This window comes from Homo sapiens, chromosome 1, assembly GCF_000001405.40.
Source record: "Homo sapiens chromosome 1, GRCh38.p14 Primary Assembly".
NCBI lineage: Eukaryota > Metazoa > Chordata > Mammalia > Primates > Hominidae > Homo > Homo sapiens.
Window position 1 is genome coordinate 171,017,431 of NC_000001.11, and position 20,400 is coordinate 171,037,830.

General features: G+C 37.9%; 1 protein-coding gene across 4 annotated transcripts in view, besides 1 other annotated feature; it reads left to right on the forward strand.

Moving 5' to 3' along the window:
- Positions 1-20,400, forward strand: part of MROH9 (maestro heat like repeat family member 9) — a 129,232-nt gene that overhangs the window by 81,897 nt on the left and 26,935 nt on the right. For all 4 annotated transcript variants that reach the window (NM_001163629.2, XM_011510006.3, XM_011510005.3 and 1 more), the window contains 3 exons: positions 6,965-7,117; positions 7,219-7,335; positions 7,888-7,990. In NM_001163629.2, the coding sequence (NP_001157101.1) occupies positions 6,965-7,117; positions 7,219-7,335; positions 7,888-7,990 (373 nt within the window). The remainder of the gene's footprint in view (positions 1-6,964; positions 7,118-7,218; positions 7,336-7,887; positions 7,991-20,400) is intronic.
- Positions 15,314-15,849: an enhancer, noted in NCBI's record as "H3K27ac-H3K4me1 hESC enhancer chr1:171001885-171002420 (GRCh37/hg19 assembly coordinates)". NCBI's record gives its function as "activates a minimal SCP1, AML or CMV promoter by ChIP-STARR-seq in naive H9 embryonic stem cells {active_cell/tissue: H9 hESC(naive)}" and the evidence as "EXISTENCE:reporter gene assay evidence [ECO:0000049][PMID:30033119]".

The window sequence follows — 20,400 nt, forward strand, 5'->3', positions numbered from 1 at the left end:
CCACTTGTGAGCCCATGCCATAAGGACCTAGGGTCCCAAACACGGAGCTGCACAGATTCTCAACAGCCACTAAGCTAGAATCTGTTTAAGACTGCTGAACTCCTGGGGGAGGGGTGACTGGCACAACAGCTGTGGCTGCCTGCTGTCTAAGCCCTTTAAACTCCTTGGGGGAGGGGTGGCAGCTGGCACTCAGACTGATAGCCACCTAACACACTAAGCCCCCATGGTGGGGGTAGGGCAGCAGCCATCTCTATAGCTCTAGGCTATGCTTTTTCCCTGCTGGAGCCAGTGAGACTGGATGGCTTGATCCCAAGAGGTATCCCCCATAGCCTAACACATCAGCTGTGGCAGACTGTTGACGAGTGCCTCTTCAGGCTTGACCTGGACCCATCCCTCCTCGCTGGGGTCTTCCTGCAGGAAGTCTGACTACTCCAGCCAGGGGCTCAGGGACAGAACTCTGATCTCCTTAGGCCTGAACCCCTCGTGGGAGGGGTGGCCACAGTCTCTGCACACCAGCAGACATAGTCTTTCCTCCTACTAGTTTGGAGGAAGCAAGGCAGACCAGACAAGTGGGCTTTCCCCCCAGCAAAGCACACCCCCTCCACCAAGGGACAGCCAAAGTGCTTTGTTAAGTGGGTCCTGCTCCCCATAAAACCCAGCCAATTGAGACCCTCCAAAAGGGGTCATCAGAAACCCTATACAGGAGTGAGCCCACAGGCATCAGGTTGGTGCCCCTCGAGATCCCAGAGGAAGGAGCAGGCACCCATCTTTGCTGTTCTCCAGATTCCTCGAGTGACATCTCCAGACATGGGAGCAAATCAGATGAATAGGGCCTAAAGTGAGCCCCCAGAAAACTGCAGCAACCCTACAGAAGAGGGACCTGACCATTGCAAGAGAAACAAAGAAACAGAAAGCAACAACAGCACCAACAAAAAAAAAAAAGTCCCCACAAAAACCCTATTCAAATGTCAGCAGCCTCAAAGATCAATACTAGACAAACTCATGAAGATGAGAAAAAAATTAACAAAACAACGCTGAAGGCCCAAAAGGCCAGAGTGCCTCTTCTCCTTCAAATGGTCACAGCACCTCCTCCAGCAAGGACATAGAACTGGACGGAGGATGAGATGGACGAATTGACAGAAGTAGGCTTCAGAAGGTGGGTAATAACAAACTCCTCTGAGCTAAAGGAGCACGTTCTAACCCAATGCAAAGAAGCTAAGAACCTAGATAAAAGGTTAGAGGAGCTGCTAACTAGAATAACCAGTTTACAGAGGAAAATAAATGACCTGATGGAGCTGAAAAACAGCACAAGAACTTTATGAAGCATACACAAGTATCAATAGCTGAATCGATGAAGCAGAAGAAACGATATCAGAGTTTGAAGACTATCTTGCTGAAATCAGGCATGCAGACAATATTAGAGAAAAAAAGAATAAAAAGGAATGAGCAAAACCTCTGAGAAATAGGGGACAGATCAACAAGACAGCAAATTAACAGGATATTGAGGACTTAAACTCAGCTATGGATCAAGTGGACCCAATAGACATATACAAAACTCTCCAACCCAAATCAACAGAATGTACATTCTTCTCAGTGCCACATGGCACTGATTCTAAAATAGACCACATAATTGGAGGTAAAACACTCATCAGCAAATTCAAAAGAACTGAAATCATAATACAGTCTCTAAAAACACAGTGCAATCACATTAGAGCTCAGGATTAAGAAACTCACTCAAAAGCACATAATTACATGGAAATTGAACAACCTGCTCCTGAATGACTCCTGGGTAAATAATGAAATTAAGGCAGAAATCAAGAAGTCTTTTGAAACCAGTAAGAACAAAGAGACTATGTACCAGAATCTGTGGGACACAGCTACAGCGGTGTTGAGAGGGAAATTTATGGCACTAAATGCCCATGTCATAAGGCTAGAAACATCGGCCAGGAGAAGTGGCTGATGCCTGTAATCCCAGCACTTTGGAAGGCTGAGGTGGGTGGATCACGAGATCAAGAGTTCAAGACCAGCATGGCCAAGATGGTGAAACCCCATCTCTACTAAAAATACAAAAATTAGCCTGCTGTGGTGGCACATGCCTGTAATCCCAGCTACTCGGAAGGCTGAGGCAGAGAATTGCTTAAACCCAGGAGGCGGAGGTTGCAGTCAGCCGAGATCACACCACTGCACTCCAGTCTGGGCGACAGAACGAGACTCCATCAAAAAAAAAAAAATGCTAGAAATATCTCAAATCAGCACCCTAACATCACAATTAAAAGAGCTAAAGAAGCAGGAGCAAACAAATTCAAAAGCTAGCAGAAAACAAGAAATAACCCAAATCAGAGCAGAACTGAAGGAAGTAAAGACACAAAAAACTCTTCAAAAAATCAACAAATCCAAGAGCTGGTTTGCTGAAAAAATTAACAAAATAGATAGACCACTAGCTAGACTAATATAGAAAAAAAGAATGAATTAAATAGACACAATAAAAAATGATAAGGGGGAAATCACCACTGACCCCCCAGCACTGCAAACTACCATCAGAGAACACTATTAACATCTATACACAAATAAACGGTAAAATCAAGAAGAAATGGGTAAATTCCTGGACGCATACACCCTCCCAAGACAAAGCCAGGAAGAAGTTGGATCCCTGAATAGACGAATAACAAGTTCTGAAATTGTGGCAGTAATTAATAGCCTACTGATAAAAAAAAGCTCAGGACCAGGATTTCACAGCCAAATTCTACTAGACATACAAAGAGGAGCTGGCATCATTCCTTCTGAAACTATTCCAAACAATTGAAAAGGAGGGACTTCTCCCTAATTCATTTTATGAGTCCAGCATCATTCTGATTCCAAAACCTGGCAGAGACACAACAGAAAAGAAAACTTCAGGGCAATATCCCTGATGAATATTGATGCGAAAATCCTCAACAAAATACTGGCAAAACAAATCCAGCAGCACATTCAAAAACTTATCCACCATGATCAGGTCAGCTTCATCCCCGGGACGCAAGCCTGGTTCAACATATACAAATCAACAAATGTAATCCATCACATAAACAGAACCAATGACAAAAACCACATGATTATCTCAATAGATGCCGAAAAGGCCTTCGATAAAATTCAACATTCCTTCATGTTAAAAACTCTCAATAAACCTGGTATTGTTGGAACATATTTCAAAATAATAAGAGCTATTTATGACAAACACACAGCCAATATCATATTGAATGAGCAAAAGCTGGAAGCATTCCCTTTGAAAACCAGCACAAGACAAGGATGCCCTCTCTCACCACTCCTATGCATCATAGTATTGGAAGTTCTGTTCAGGGCAATCAGGCAAGGGAAAAAAGTAAATGGTACTCACGTAGGAAGAGAGGAAGTCAAATTGTCTCTGTTTGTGGACATGATTCTATATTTAGAAAACCCCATCACCTCAGCCCCAAAACTCCTTAAGCTGATAAGCAACTTCACAAAGTCTCGGGATACAAAATCAATGTGCAAAAATCACAAACATTTCCATGCACCAACAATAGACAAGCAGAGAGCCAAATCATGAATGAACACTCATTCGCAATTGCTACAAAGAGAATAAAATACCTAGGAATACAGCTAACAAGGGATGTCAAGGACCTCTTTAAGGAGAACTACAAACCACTGCTCAAGGAAATCAGAGAGGACACAAACAAATGGAAAAACATTCAATCCTCATGGATAAAAAGAATCAATATCATTAAAATGGCCATACTGCCCAAGTAATTTATAGATTCAGTGCTATTCTCATCAAACTACCATTGACATTATTCACAGAATTAGAAAAAACTACTTTAAATTCCATATGGAAGCAAAAAAGAGCCCATATAGCCAAGACAATCCTAAGCACAAAGAACAAAGCTGAAGACATCATGGTACCTGACTTCAAACTATACTACAAGGCTACAGTATCCAAAACAACATGATACTGGCACCAAAACAGGTATATAGACCAACGAAACAGAACAGAGATCTCAGAAATAACACCACACTTCTACAATCATCTGATCTTCAACAATCCTGCCAAAAGCAAGCAATAGGGAAAAGATTCCCTATTTAATAAATGGTCTGGGAAAACTGGCTAGCCACATGCAGAAAACCGAAACTGGACCCCTCCTTACACATTAAACAAAACTTAACATGGCTTAAAGACTTAAATGTAAGACCCCAAACCATACAAACCCTCGAAGAAAACCTAGGCAATAGCGTTCAGGACATAGGCGTGGGCAAAGACTTCATTACAAAAACACCAAAAGCAATTGCAACAAAAGCAAAATTGACAAATAGGATCTAATCAAATTAAACAGCTTCTGCACAGCAAAAGAAACTATTATCAGGGTGAATAGGCAACCTACAGAATGGGAAAAAATTTTTGCAATCTACCCATCTGACAAAGATCTAATATCCAGAATCTACAAGAAACTTAAATTTACAAGAAAAAAAAAAAATGACCCCATCAAAAAGTGGGCAAAGCATATGAACAGACACTTCTCAAAAGAAAACATTTACATGGCCAACAAACATATGAAAAAAAGTTCAACATCACTGATTAGAGAAATGCAAATCAAAACCACAATGAGATACCATCTCACACCAGTCAGAATGGTGATTATTAAAAAGTCAAAAAATAATAGATGCTGGCAAGGCTGTGGAGAAATAGGAATGCTTTTACACTGTTGGTGGGAATGTAAATTAATTCAACTATTGTGGAATAAAGTATGGTGATTCGTCAAGGATCTAGAACCAGAAATACCATCTGACCCAGCAATCCCATTACTGAGTATATACCCGAAGGATTATAAATCATTCTGCTTTAAAGACACATGCACATGTATGTTTATTGCAGCACTACTTACAGTAGCAAAGTCATGGAACCAACCCAAATGCCCATCAATGTTAGACTGGATAAAGAAAATGTGGTATATATACACCGTGGACTACTATGCAGCCATAAAAAGGAATGAAGATTATGTGCTTTGCAGGGACATGGATGAAGCTGGAAGCCATCATTCTCAGCAAACTAACACAGGAACAGAAAATGAAATACCACATGTTCTCACTCATAAGTGGGAGTTGAACAATGAAAACACATGGACACAAGGAGGGGAACAACACACACCAGGGCCACTTGGGGGGTGGGTGGCAAGGGGAGGGAGAACATTAGGAGAAATAGCTAATGCATATGGGGCTTAAAACCTAGATGATGGGGTGATAGGTGCAGCAAACCAGCATGGCACACATAGACCTTTGTAACAAACCTAAACTTTCTGCACTTGTATCCCAGAACTTAAAGTTAAAAAAAAAGAAAAAAGTGGCTTAATTTATTGAACACTTAATATATACCAGGGGCTTTTCTAAAGGATTTACTTGAGCTATTTTACATAAATCTCTAAGCAACTGTATTACTATTATCCAATTTTCATGTAAAGAAACTAAGGCAAAGAGAAGGCAATGTTTGGCCAAGGTCATGTATGTGATAAAGTAGTCAGAGCGCTCATATAAAAAAAATCAATATGAGATTATAAACATTTCCTTAAAACCAGAAGGTGATATTATATTTTTAAAATTTGGGCCAAGTGCAGTGGCTCACGCCTGTAATCCCAACACTTTCCAAGACTGACATGGGAGGATTGCTTGAGCCCAAGAATTTCAGACCAGCAGGAGGGTTGTTGGAGCCCAAGAGTTAAAAGCTGCAGTGAGCTATGATCCTGCCCCTGCACTCTAGCCTGGGCAACAGAGTGAGACCCTGTCTCTAATAAAATATAAATAAATAAAAATTTAAAAATTAACCTCTTCTGACTTGCAATTTTTCCTTTATAGAATCATTTTTATCCAATTACCTTCCTATTTGGCATAAGTAGCCTTTGAAAACCTGGTTGTATGCCAGTATGCAGAGAGCTTGCATTGTTATTTAGTGGCAACTCAGCAAAGTCTTCCAGCCTTTGAACACAGCATGGTTACATTATTATAAGTATCCTTACAAAAATTATCTTCAAGTTATACATACTATTTCAGTTTATACTTTTAGGATGTTATTAAATACTAATCATCTTCCTAAATTTAAGAAACTCATTTTTCACAGTTTTTTTAATGCAATCTGAATTATGGTAAGTAAATTGTTTTACTAGTTTATATATTTTGTTCAGCTTTATTAAGGCATAATTAATCAATTAAAATTATATATATTTACAGAATACAATACGTTTTGATATAGGTATACATTGTCAAATGATTAAATCAAACAAAATTAACATAGCCATTACCTCACATATCTTTTTTGTGTGTGTGGTGAGAACGTTTGAGATCTAATCTCTGCAGTTTTTAAGTATACATTACATTAACTATACTCTAATGTAACTAGACTTACATTAGATCTCTAGAATTTATTCATCCAGTCTAAAAGAAACTTTGTATCCTTTAACCAACATCTCCCCCAGTGCCTCCCACCACCCTTCAGCTGCTGGCAACCTAGGCCCACTCTCCTCTTCTATGAGTTCAACCTTTTAATATTCCACATATAAGTGAGATCATGCAATATTTGTCTTTCTGTCCCTGACTGATTTCAAATAGCATGATGTCCTCCAAGTTCATCCATGTCATACATGACAGGATTTTATTCTTTTTTAAGGCTGAAAAGTATTTCAATTATTCCATTGATGGACACTTAGGTTAATTCCATATCTTGGCTATTGTGAATAATAGGTAGGCAAATATTATTTTAAAATTAAAAGATGCCCTAACTACTTGAACCCAAGGTGAATTTTTTCTAAAAATAAATAAAATTTCACATAGTGTATGTATATATACACATATACATATATAGTATATTTATATGGGGTGTGTGTGTGTGTGTGTGTGTGTGTGTAGATTACTGATTGAAGAAAAAAGCCCTAATATTATCCTCAAATAAGGCCTTTGTCTTTTACAGATTAATGGAGGCATTCGAAGTATGGCAATTCGACACTTTGGTCAATTAGTTAGGGATATGAGACAGTACACATGGATGGTGAATGATGTGGTTCTAGAAGGCTTGGTGCCCCTAATCCTATTTTTGGAGGATGATGATAAAAGAGTAGCTGAAGTAAGTCATTTGATCTTCTTTTTCATAAATTTACCAAGGATTGTAATGTTTTATCTAACAACAGATGAATAGATCTTCACCGGCCTTTTTCTGTCTCACAGGCATGTAAATATACATTAAAAATCTGTACCTCACAATTAAAGTGGTCAACATCACGTTTGCTCAAAGATGAAAATTACAGTTTTGAGATGGTGGTGCTCAATATCTGTAACAATCTTGTAAGTGGCCCTTCCATTTTTACTACTATAAGAGTTGTAGACAAAACTTACAGGATATCCAAAGTGATAAAAACTGTAATGGGGATAAGAGTGGATCTTGGAGGAAAAAAATGGAAGAAAATATTTTAAATAAGTGATTATAGCTGGAGCTTGAGCCGAGAGGAATTAGAATTTTCCACTTCCTATTTCTCAACACTGATCATCCATCTTATCTTCTTCCTCCAGCCCACCCATTTTGAGCTATGGGTGGGTATTAAGGTAGGAAGAACATCCCAGATCACAAAAAAGAAAACTAGAATTACTTTGCCACTGCCTCTTGAGCTAGTCCTCTGAAACCCAGCATGAACAGCAATGATAGCCAAGTGGGGATGGATGAATGCTAATCAAAGAATGGAAAAAGAGAGTTGAGTTTGGGAACAAGAGTATAGTTCACACAAAAGCATCCCCAATTTCTAATTTGGTCCTGATTTGGTATGTTGAAGCCTTTCTGGAGGGAGCAAATGTTCTATTTCAGCAATCGAGTGAGGTGCTTTTTTCCCTTTTTATTCTCAGATTATTTCTCATAGGAACTACATTACAGATTTGACATCTGATACCTTACGATTCCTGTGGAGCCCCAGAACATATCTTAAGAGGGCATCGGTTATTTTGATAGGTAAATATAATTCAGTTCTCAATTCCTAACTTGTCTTAAATGGTATAGAATGGAGAAGAAACTAAAAGTCTTTCTTACATTTTTTTTAATGTCTCTGTTTATGAGGGACAGCACCTGTGATGGTGATGAATACAGGTTGATACGTGTGATGAGAATAGAGTTCTATTTTATAATACACAGAGAATATAGCTGTATGGTTGATTATTATGCAAAATGTGTTCAGCAAAATGGATTTCAAAACTTAAGACAGTGACATACCATTGTTCATTTTTCCCCTTCACCACTTAAAAATTACTACCCAAAGAATAAGAATAATTTAAAAATATATAAAAACATCATCTTCGACCAAACTTGGACATCTGTAACCACAAACTACAATAGATGAGGAAGAACTACCAAACCCACTAAAGTTTTAAAAAAGTGGAAACAGGCAGGGGCAACCCAGGAAGACTCTAAGACTAGACAAGTTTTTTATATCAGACAAACCTGACCACACAGTTTTTCTGTACTAGCTCTCACTGTGAAAATAAAAATTAATTATTCTTTATTTTGGAATTCCCAGCTTAGTAGTGAGTCTCCAACTTGGCAGTCGGATCTTCCCTTGACCCCAGTTAGCATCATGGAGTAACAGGAACAGCAAAGAATGAGGAAATACATGGTCACATCATACATATAGAGAGGAGGCTCTCGGTCAGGGTAGATGACAAAATGAATTATGATCAGCACTAAAGCCCACGATCTGTGTTAATCAGAGAGGAGGGGCAGAACACACACAGACACAGGCACGTGCGCGCACACACACACACACCCTCACAAAGAAAAATCCTGTGTTATCATAACTTTCTGTCATTTTCTTTTCTTTTTTTTTTTTTAAGACAGAATCTTGCTCTGTCACCTAGGCTGGAGTGCAGTGGCACAATCTTGGCTCACTGCAACCTCCACCTCCCAGGTTCAAGCGACTCTCCTGCTTCAGCCTCTAGAGTAGCTGGGATTATAGGCATGAGCCACCACGCCTGGCTATTCTTGTATTTTTAGTAGAGATGGAGTTTCACTATGTTTGCCAGGCTGGTCTTGAACTCTGACCTAAAGTGATCTGCCTGCCTCAGCCTCCCAAAGTGCTAAAATTACAGGCATGAGCCACCATGCTCAGCCAATAGTAACTTTATTTCAGACCAGAAATAATCCCTGCTATCCTGAATTCTACCTTGGAAGTTCCCACAAATAAACCTCTGTATATAACTATTGCAAGATTGGTAAATAAGTAATTTTAAAAAAGAAACAGCATTATCTTTCTACAGAGGTACTTCAAGGGAAAAAAGAGACAAAAGAATGAAGAAAAACAAACCTTAGAAAATATGTCGATAGAGCAGATGAAAGTTATGATAAATATTTCCATGAATCCAAAACATTTTAAAATGAAGATCTAAAGTATAGACACAAGCATACAGGGAATCTGGGATGGGATAATGGGAGCATATGAAAAATAAGCTTTCGAAGTACAAGGGGGAAAAAGTAAGAAAAAACGTATATCACCAAAAATGAAAATTAAATTACAACCAGCAAAAGAGAAAATATTTGTTGAGAACTCAGTAAGGGACAAGGAGTACAGGGTTGAGAAATGTTAGCAAAATCAAACAAAAACCATCAATGAAAAATTCTTTTTATTCCTTCTTCCAAAAAAAAATGGAATACATGTGCAGAACATGCAGGTTTGTTACATAGCTATACATGTGCCATGGTGGTTCGCTGCCCCTATTGACTGGCCCTCTAAGTTCCCTCGCCTCAACCCCCACCTCCCAACAGGCTCTGGTGTATGTTGTTCCCCTCCCTTTGTCCATGTGTTCTTGTTGTTCAACTCCCACTTATGAGTGAGAACATGTGGTATTTCATTTTCTGTTCCTGTATTAGTTTGCTGAGAATGATGGCTTCCAGCTTCATCCATGTCCCTGCAAAGAACATGATCTCATTCTTCTTTATGGCTGCATAATATTCCATGGTGTATATATATCACATTTTCTTTATCCAGTCTATCATTGATGGGCATGTGGGTTGGTTCCATGTCTTTGCCATTTTAAATGGTGCTGCAATAAACATACATGTGCACTTGTCTTTATAGTAAAATGATTTGTATTCCTTTGGTTATATACATAGTAAAGGGATTGCTGGGTTAAATGGTATTTCTGGTCCTAGATCCTTGAGGAATTGTCATACTGTATTCCACAATGGTTGAAATAATTTACATTCCCACCAACAGTGTAAAAGTGTTCCTATTTCTCCACAGCCTTGCCACCATCTATTGTTTCTTGACTTTTTAATAATTGCCATTCTGACTGGTGTGAGATGGTATCTCATTATAGTTTGATTTGCATTTCTCTAATGATCAGTGATGTTGAGCTTTTTTTCATATGCTTGTTGGCATGTAAATGTCTTCTTTTCAGAAGTGTCTATTCATATCCTTTGCCCACTTTTTGAGGGGGTTGTTTTTTGTTGTTAAGTTACTTGTAGATTCTGGATATTAGACCTTTGTCAGATGGGTAGATTGCAAAATTTTTCTCCCATTCTGTAGGTTGCCTGTTCAGTCTTTGTCTTTTGCTGTGCAGAAGCTGTTTAATTTAATTAGACCCTATTTGTCAATTTTGGCTTTTGTTGCAATTGCTTTTGGTGTTTTTGTCATGAAATCTTTGCCCATGCCTATGTCCTGAATGGTATTGCCTAGGTTTTCTTCTAGGGTTTTGAGGGTTTGGGGTTTTACATTAAGTCTTTAAGCCTTGTTAATTTTTGTATAAGGTGTAAGGAAAGCGTCTAGTTTCAGTTTCCTGCATATGGCTAGCCAGTTTTCGCAGCACCATTTACTGAATAGGAGATCCTTTCCCCATTGCTTGTTTTTAGCAGGTTTGTCGAAAATCAGATGATTGTAGATGTGTGGTGTTATTTCTGAGGTCTCTGTTCTGTTCCATTTGTCTATGTATCTGCTTTGGTACCAGTACCATGTTGTTTTGATTACTGTAGCCTTGTGGTATAGTTTGAAGCCAGGCACCACAATGCCTCCAGCTTTGTTCTTTCTGCTTAGGATTCTCTTGGCTATATGGGGTCTTCTTTCATTACATGTGAAATCCAAAATAGTTTTTCCTAATTCTGTGAAGAATGTCAATGGTAGTTTGATGGGAATAGTACTGAATCTATAAATTAACTTGGGCAGTATGGCCATTTTCACAATATTGATTCTTCCTATCCATGAGGATGGAATGTCTTTCCATTTGTTTGTGTCCTCTCTGATTTCTTTGAGCAGTGGTTTGTAGTTCTCCTTAAAGAGGTCCTTCACATTTCTTGTTAGCTGTATTCCTAGATTTTATTTTCTTCGTAGCGATTATGAATGGGAGTTCACTCATGATTTGGCTCTCTGTGTGTCTATCATTGGTGTAAATGAATGCTCGTAATTTTTGCACATTGATTTTGTATCCTGAGACTTTGCTGAAATTTAAGGAGTTTTTGGGCTGAGGTGATGGAGTTTTCTAAATATAGAATCATGCAGTCTGCAGAGACAATTTGACTTCCTCCCTTCCTGTTTGAATACTCTTTATTTTTTTCTCTTGCCTGATTGCCCTGGCCAGAACTTTCAATACTATGTTGAATATGAGTAGTGTGAGAAGCCATTCTTGTTTTGTACCAGTTTTCAAAGGGAATGTTTCCAGCTTTTGCCCATTCAACATGACATTGATATGATATTGGCTGTGGGTTTGTCTTAAATAGCTTTATTATTGTGAGATATCTTCCTTCAATATCTAGTTTATTAAGAGGGTTTTGTTTTTTTTTTCGGAGTCTGCTCGTTGCCCAGGCTGGAGTGCAGTGGCACAATCTCGGCTCACTGCAACCTCCGCCTCCCAGGTTCCAGCGATTCTCCTGCCTCAGCCTCCTGAGTAGCTAGGGTTACAGCATGTGCCACCATGCCCAGCTAATTTTTGTATTTTTAGTAGAGACGAGGTTTCACCATGTTGTTCAGGCTGGTCTCAAACTCCTGACCTCATGATCCACCTGCCTCAGCCTCCTAAAGTGCTGGGATTGTTAAGAGTTTTTAACTTGAAGGGATGTTGAATTTTATCAAACGCCTTTTCTGCATCTATGGAGATAATCTTGTGGTTTTTGTCTTTGGTTCTGTTTAATGTGATGGATTATGTTTATTGATTTGCATATGTTGAATCAGCCTTGCATCGCAGGGATGACGCTGAACCGATCGTGGTGGGTAAGTTTTTTTGATTTGCTCCTAGATTCGATTTGTCAGTATTTTATTGAGGATTTTTGCATCGATGTTCATCAGAAATATTGGCTTGGAGTTTTCCTTTTTTATTGTGTCTCTTTCTGGTTTTGGTATCAGAATGATGCTGGCTTCATAAAATGAGTTAGGGAGGAGTCCCTCCTTTTCAATTGTTTGGAATACTTTCAGAAGGAATGGTACCAATTCCTCTTTGTGTTTCTGGTAGAATTCAACTGTGAGTCCATCTGTTCCTGGGCTTTTTTTGGTTGGTAGGCTATTAATTACTGCCTCAATTTCAGAACTTGTTATTGGTCTATTGAGGGATTCAACTTCTTTCTTGTTTAGACTTGGGAGTGTGTATGTGTCCAGGAATTTACCCATTTCTTCTAGATTTTCTAGTTTATTTGCATAGAGGTGTTTATAGTATTCTTTGATGGTAGTTTTTATTTCTGTGGGGTCAGCAGTGATATTTCCTTATCAGTTTTTATTGTATCTATTTAATTCTTCTTTTTTTTCTACATTAGTTTAGCTAGTAGTCTATTTTGTTAGTCTTTTTGAAAAACCAGCTCCTGGATTTATTGTTTTTTTGGAGGGCTTTTCGTGTCTCTATCTAGTTCAGTTCTTTTCTGGTCTTAGTTACTTATTGTCTTATGCTAGCTTTTGGATTAGTTTGTTCTTGATGCTCTAGCTCTTTTAACTGTGATACTAGAGCGTCAATTTGAGATCTTCCAAGCTTTCTGATGTGGGCATTTAGTGCTATAAATTTCCCTCTTAACACTGCTTAGGTGTGTCCCAGAGATTCCGGTACATTGTCCCATGTTCTCATTAGTTTCAAAGAACTTCTTGATTTCTGCCCTAATTTCATTGTTTACCCAGGAGTCATTCAGGAGGAGGTTGTTCAATTTCCATGAAATTGTGTGTTTTTGAGTGAGTTTCTTAATCCTGAGTTCTAATTTGATTGCACTGTGTTCTGAAAGACTGTTTGTTATGATTTCAGTTCTTTTGCATTTGCTGAGGAATGTTTTATTTCCAATTATGTGGTCTAGTTTAGAATCAGTGCCATGTGGCACTGAGAAGAATGTATATTCTGTTGATTTGGGTTGGAGAGTTCTGCATATGTCTATTGGGCCCATTTGATCCAGAGCCGAGTTCAAGTCCTGAATATCTTTATTAATTTTCTGTCTAGTTCTGTCTAATACTGACAGTGAGGTGTTAAAATATCCCACTATTATTGTGTGGAAGTCTAAGTCTCTTTGTATTTCTTACAAACTTGTTTTATGAATCTGGGTGTGCCTGTATTGAGTGCACGTATATTTAGAATAGTTAGCTCTTCTTGTTGAATTGTTCCCTTTTCCGTAATGTAATGTCCTTTTTCTTCTTTTTTGATCTTTCTTGGTTTTAAAGTCTGTTTTGTCAGAGACTAGCATTGCAACCCCTGCGGTTTTTTTGCTTTCTGTTTGCTTGGTAAATTTTCCTCCATCCCTTTATTTTGAGCCTATGTGTGTCTTTGCACATTAGATGGCTCTCCTGAATACAGCACACCAATGGATCTTGACTCTATCCAATTTGCCAGTCTGTGTCTTTTAACTGGGGCATTTAGACCATTTACATTTAAGGTTAATATTTTTATGTGTGAATTTGATCCTGTCATCATGAGCTAGCTGGTTATTTTGCACACTAGTTGATGCAGTTTCTTCATAGTGTCATTGGTCATTACATTTTGGTGTGTTTTCCAGTGGCTGGTACTGGGTGCTTTTTTTCCATGTTTAGCACTTCTCTCAGGAGCTCTTGCAATGCAGGCCTGGTAATAATGAAATCCCTCAACATTTGTCTTGAAATGATTTTATTTCTCCTTTGCTTATGAAGCTTAATTTGGCTGGATATGAAATTCTGGGTTGAAAATTCTTTTCTTTAACAATGTTGAATTTGTCCCCCAATCTCTTCTGGCTTGTAGGGTTTCTGTTGAGAGACGTACTTTTAGTCTTATGGGCTTCTCTTTGTAGGTGACCTGGCCATTCTCTCTGGCTGCCCTTAACAATTTTTCCTTCATTTCAAGCTTGGATAATTGGATGATTATGTGTCTCAGGGTTGATCTTCTCATGGAGTATCTTAGTGGTGTTCTCTGTATTTCCTGAATTTGCATGTTGGCCTGTCTTGCTAGGTTGGGAAAGTCCTCCCGGATAATATCCTGAAGTGTGTTTTCCAGCTTGTTTCCATTCTCCTCGTCTCCTTCTGGTACTCTAAGCAATCATAGATTTGATCTTTTTATGAAGCTCCATATTTTTTGGAGGCTTTCTTCATTCCTTTTCATTCTTTTATCTCTAGTCTTGTCTGCATGCCTTATTTCAGTAAGGTGGTCTTCAAACTCTGATATCCTTTCTTCTACTTGGTCAGTTCGGCTATTGATAGCTGTATATGTTTTACGAACTTCTCGTGCTGGGGTTTTCAGCTCCATCAGATCATTTATGTTTCTCTCTAAACTGGTTATTCAGTTAGCAGCTCCTATAACCTTTTATCAAAGTTCTTAGCTTCTTTGCATTGGGTTAGAACATGCTCCTTTAGTGCAGCATAGTTTTTTATTACCCATCTTCTGAAGGCTACTACTGTCGATTCATCCATCTGATCCTCTGTCCAGTTCTGTGTCCTTGATGGAAAGACATTGCAATTATTTGGAGAAGAGGCACTCTGGCCTTTTGGGTTTTCAGCATCTTTTCATTGATTCTTTCTCATCTTCGTGAGTTTGTCTAGAGTCGGTCTTTGAGGCTCTGACCCTTGGATGGGGTTTTTGTGGGGGCTTTTTTGTTGTTGTTTTTGTTGTTTCTTTCTGCTTGTTTTTCTTGCAATGGTAAAGTCCCTCTTTTGTAGGGCTGCTGCAGTTTGCTGGGGGTTCACTGCAGGCCCTACTCATCTGATTCACTCCCGTGCCTGGAGATGTCACTCAAGGAGGCTGGAGAACAGCAAAGATGGGTGCCTGCTCCTTCCTCTGGGATCTCTGAGCTCAAGGGGCACCAATCTGATGCTAGTAGGATCGCTCTTGTATAGGGTTTCTGACAAACCCTGTTGGAGGGTCTCACACAGTTGGGTACCACGGAGAACAATACCCATTTAACAAAGCACTTTGTCCCTTCGCAGAGGGGGTGTGCCACACCAGGCGGGAAACCCACTTGTCTGGGCTGCCTGGATTCCTCAGAACTACCAGGAAGAAAGGCTAAATCTGCTGGTCTGCAGAGACTGTGGCCTCCCTCTCCTTAGGGGCTCAGGTCCTGTGGGATCCAGGTTCTGTCCCTGAGCCCCTGGCTGGAGTTATTGGAGTTCCTGCAGGGAAGCCCCACCCAGTGAGGAAGGATGGGTAAGAGTCAGGCCTGTAGAGGCACTCTGCCACAGACTGCCACAGCCAGTGTGTTGGGCTGCGGAGGGACAAGTCTTGGGACCAAGCCATCCAGCCTCCCTGGCTCCAGCAGGGGAAAAGCACAGCCTGGGGCTTTAGAAATGGGTGCCACCCTTCCCCTGCCCAGGGAGCTTAGAGTGTTAGGCAGTTGTGAGTCCCAGTGCTGGCTGCTGCCCCTCCCCCAAGGAGCTCAAATGGCTTAGGGTGCAGGCAGCGGCAGCTGGCGCTGGTCGCCCTTCACCCCAGGAGTTCAGTAATCTTAAGCCGATTCCAGATGAGAGGCTGTTAAGAGTCTGCACATTCTGAGGTGGGACACTAGGCCCCAGTGGCGTGGGTTCGTGAATGGGATCTTCCAATCCGTGGGTTGCACAGTTTCATCAAAAAAGCACAGTTTCCTGGATGGGTAGCATGCTCACTCACTGCCTGCCTTGGCTTTGGGGGAGGGGCTTCCCTGCCCCGTGTGGCTCTCAGGCCGGTCGCCACGCCACACTGTTCTTCCTTCTCTCTGTGGGTCACGCCAGCCTCCTAGTCAGTTCTGATGAGAAAACCTGAGTACCTTGGCTGCCAGTGAAGGATTCACATGCTTATTATGTTTTTGTTTGTTTGTTTGTTTTGTTTTGTTTTTTTCCTGATGGGAGCCTCTGAACGCTGCTGTTTCTATTCGGCCATCTATTCGGCTCCCCCACAAAATTCTTAAAATTAGGGAACAATAGTAGATATAGATGATAGAAAAAAGAAATGCAAATATGAGCAAGTGATATCCCTGAAGAAGAGAAATGAAAAACTACAACAGAGCAAAAGTCTTCAAATATATAATTTAAGAAATAAAGATGACTTGATTAAATATACTGAGATAAGGAATCATTTTTTCAAGAAATATTTTATACAGAATGCAACATTAAGGCATTTTGTAATAAAGTTATGGAACTGCACGATTCCATAAGAATTCTTCAACAATTCTTTATGCATTCAGACAAAAAAAATTACCTACAAATTTTAAAAATAGAGAAACTGTCATTAAACTTCTTTACTTCAATATTCCATATTTTATAGTTGAATACTAAAAAAACTTTTATAGTATTCAACTATAAAATATAGAATATTGCTTACAAATTCCTAAGTGAAGAGAAAATTGTGACTGAAGAATTTTATATCCAGCACAATTTTATCCAGCTATACAGATAACAGAACATTATTTTCAAAAAGACAAGAACTCAGGATGAAATCATCATCATGAATTCTTCTTGAAGACATTATTAGAGGATGGAATTCATCTAACTAATGGATGAATGGATGAACTATTGCAAAAAGACATCCAGTATCTATTTAACTGTAGGACTCTCATCTGCCAATCAAGTCTCTACTACTTTTTATTTTTCTCTATGCCTTGGAAGGCTGACCTCTGCATTCTGTATCTCCCAAGCTCCCTTGCCAGCTTGCTTCCTGATGGGTACAACACTTAATGTCCATTAATGCATTTAATGAGCAGAGGTATGCTTAATATTCAGAAATAATTATGACAGTGCTATTCACAAATGCTTGTCCCATCTAGAATCCTTACTGAGCATCTGTTTAAAAATACTGATCAACAGGCTCAGTCCAAGTGTCATAAATATACTATCAGATAATTTCATAGATCTTGATAAGTTGATTCTAAATGTTTGTGGAATAGCAAAAGGCCAAGATACTCCTGAAGGAAAAAAAATTGGGGCTACTAGTTTCACCAGATACCAAGATTTATTATAAAGCTACAGAATTTTAGATAGTCTGTTACTCATTCAAGGAAAGACAAACAGACCTGTGGAACAGAATAGAAAGCCTATAAACAGATCCACACATATACCTAATATATATCAGAACTGGCAGTGTATATCAGACCGGCAAATGATGGGCTGCCTAACGAAAGGTGCAACGACAATTGGAAGTGCACAAACAAAAGGACTCCTGACACCCTACACAAAAATTAATTCTAGAAGAATCAAACAATGTAAACATAAAACACAAATATTTAAAAACTTTTAGAAGAAAATGTAAGATAATATCTTCATAACTGAAGATAAACAAAATATTTCTAAAGACAAAAAATTTAAAAATCAAGCAACAAGCTGAGAGAAATATTTGCACATGTGCAACTAAAATGTATTAATTTTGATATATTAATTATAATAACTTAGAAAAAGACAAAAAATCCAATAGATCAAAAAATAAAACGTACAAAAAATAATAATAAATATAAAGAGGAAGTTCAAAAAAGAGAAAACATAGAGACAAATAATCATGTAAAACATGTTCAACAATATTAATAATCAGAAACATGCAAATTAGAACAATAACAACCCATTTCACACCAATAAAGTAGCAACGTTTTTTAAAATATAAAAAAATAAAAACTGATGTTAAAATTGAAAGCTTCTCTTCACCAAATTATGTTAAAAGGCAACCACCAAATGGAAGAAGATATTTACAACACATATATCTGGCAAAGAATCACATTAGAATATATAAAGAATTCATGTAAATTTATAAGAAAAAAACCACCTAATAGAAAAATGAGTAATAAATGACACTTTTCAGAAAAGGACAGACAAATTACCAATAAACATATAAAAAGATATTTGACTCCATTGTTCATTTGGAAAATGCAAATTGAAACCATAAGATACCATTATACATCCAACATAAAGTGTAGAATAAAGACTAACAATCTCAACTGTTGTCAAGGATATGGAGCAAACAGAACTCTGTTATATGCTGTTGGCGGAGAAAATTCTTAAACCACTTTGGAAAGCTGTTTAGCTATATCTGATAAAGCCGAACACATAGATATCCTATGACTCAGGAATTCTATAAAATCTCACAGAAATACATACATGTGTTCACAAAAGATATGTACTAGAATATTCAAAGCAGCATTACTAGTTATAACCCAATCCTCCAAATCAACAGTTAGATGAATATATTGATGTAGATTCACACAATGAAATACTACATACCAATGGAAAAAAATCAACTTCATTCACAATGTAGAGGAAGCTTACAACGTTGAAATAAAAGCCAGTCACAAAAAGTACATATTGTACAATTCCATTGATATAAAACACAAAAACAGCTAGAACTAAAGAGTTATTAAACTCAGGGTAGCGTTTACACTTGGGGAGAAAATAAAAGGGAGCCTCGGAGAGAGTTTCTGGATTACTGGTAATGTCTTGTGTCTTGACCTTAGATGTGGTCACTGTGTGAACATTCCATGTGCTGTACTTTTATATGTGTACTTTTTCATACATGCGTTATACCTAGATGTTTAAAATTAAAGTTTTATGTATATATACATACCAAGAGTTGAAAAGTGTGTGAAATAATGGGAATTTTTGTTGCTTGTAGTGGGAACAGAAATTGATATAAACACTCAGAAAATAATTTGACATCATCTTATAAGCTAAAGTTGAGCATAATGTTCCTATAAATCTGTAATACCATTTTTAACTATGTACCTTAGACTCTCTCACACAGGTGCATCTGGAGACATGTAGAAGTTTATTGCCCTATTATTAGTAATATCAGATAAATTAGAAATAATCCAAATGTCTGTCACAAGTAGAATGGATAAATAATTTATGTATTGTCACAAATGCAACAGCAAATAGCAAGGAATTTTATTACAAAAAATAAAAATAAATAAATAAATAAACGCTATCTTTACACTCACCAGAATAGATGAATACAAAAATAAAAAAAAAAAACTTTGAGTAAAATGAATAAAAGCAAAAAACGAAACCCAAAGAATACATACTATTTATATATGGATGAAAGCAGACACTACTAAAACATTATTTGGGAATTCACATTAATTTTCTGGAAAACAGTAAGAAAAATCAAGGAAATGGTCAACATAAAATTCAACATACTAGTTTATCTAGAAGGAGGGGGAGGAAAAAATAGCGTTTATGAAAGGACACACAAGAGGCTTCAAGAGCACAAGTATTTTTTATTTTTTAAGTCCATAGGTAGGATATTATATCTATTCTTTTATATACTTTTAATTTAAAAATACATGTTTTAAATTATGCTAATCTCAAAGCAACTAACTCATTAAAAAATACAGTGAAAGAAAATATCCCATTTATAGTAGGTAAAAAATAAAGAAGGAAATAAAAAATGAGGAAGAAAAGGAGGAAGGGAGGAATGACGGAGGGAGAGAGGAAAAAGAGAGGGAGGGAGAAAAAGAAAGAAGGAAGGAAGGAAGACTTTTGGAAGAAAGTAAGAAGGGAGATGGGAGATAGGGAGAGGAAGAAAAGAAGGAAGGATAGACAGAAGAAAGGAAGGGAGGTCTAAAAATAAACTTTAAAATACATGCAATATTTCTATGAAGAAAATTGCAAACATTACTGAAGGACACAAAGACTGAAAATAGAAAGGTATAAACCCTATTTTAGGAAAAAAAAGAATAAAAATTTTAAAAGTGTCAATTTTTTTTTCTAAATGAATCTATGCATGGAATGAAATGCCAATTAAAATATCCTTAGGATTTTCTTCAACATTGCTTGCTGATTCTAAAATTAAAGTAGAAAAGTTAGCATGCAAGAATAATGGAAACTCTAACTGAAAAGAATAATGACAGAGGACTAGCCCTATCATACATCAATATAGCTTTAGTAATTAAAATCACATGGAATGAATAGACAGATAAATAGGACATAATACCATCCAGAAATAACCCCCTAAACATGCAATATTTTAGAAAGTGAATCATTGACCTTAACTAACAGTGAT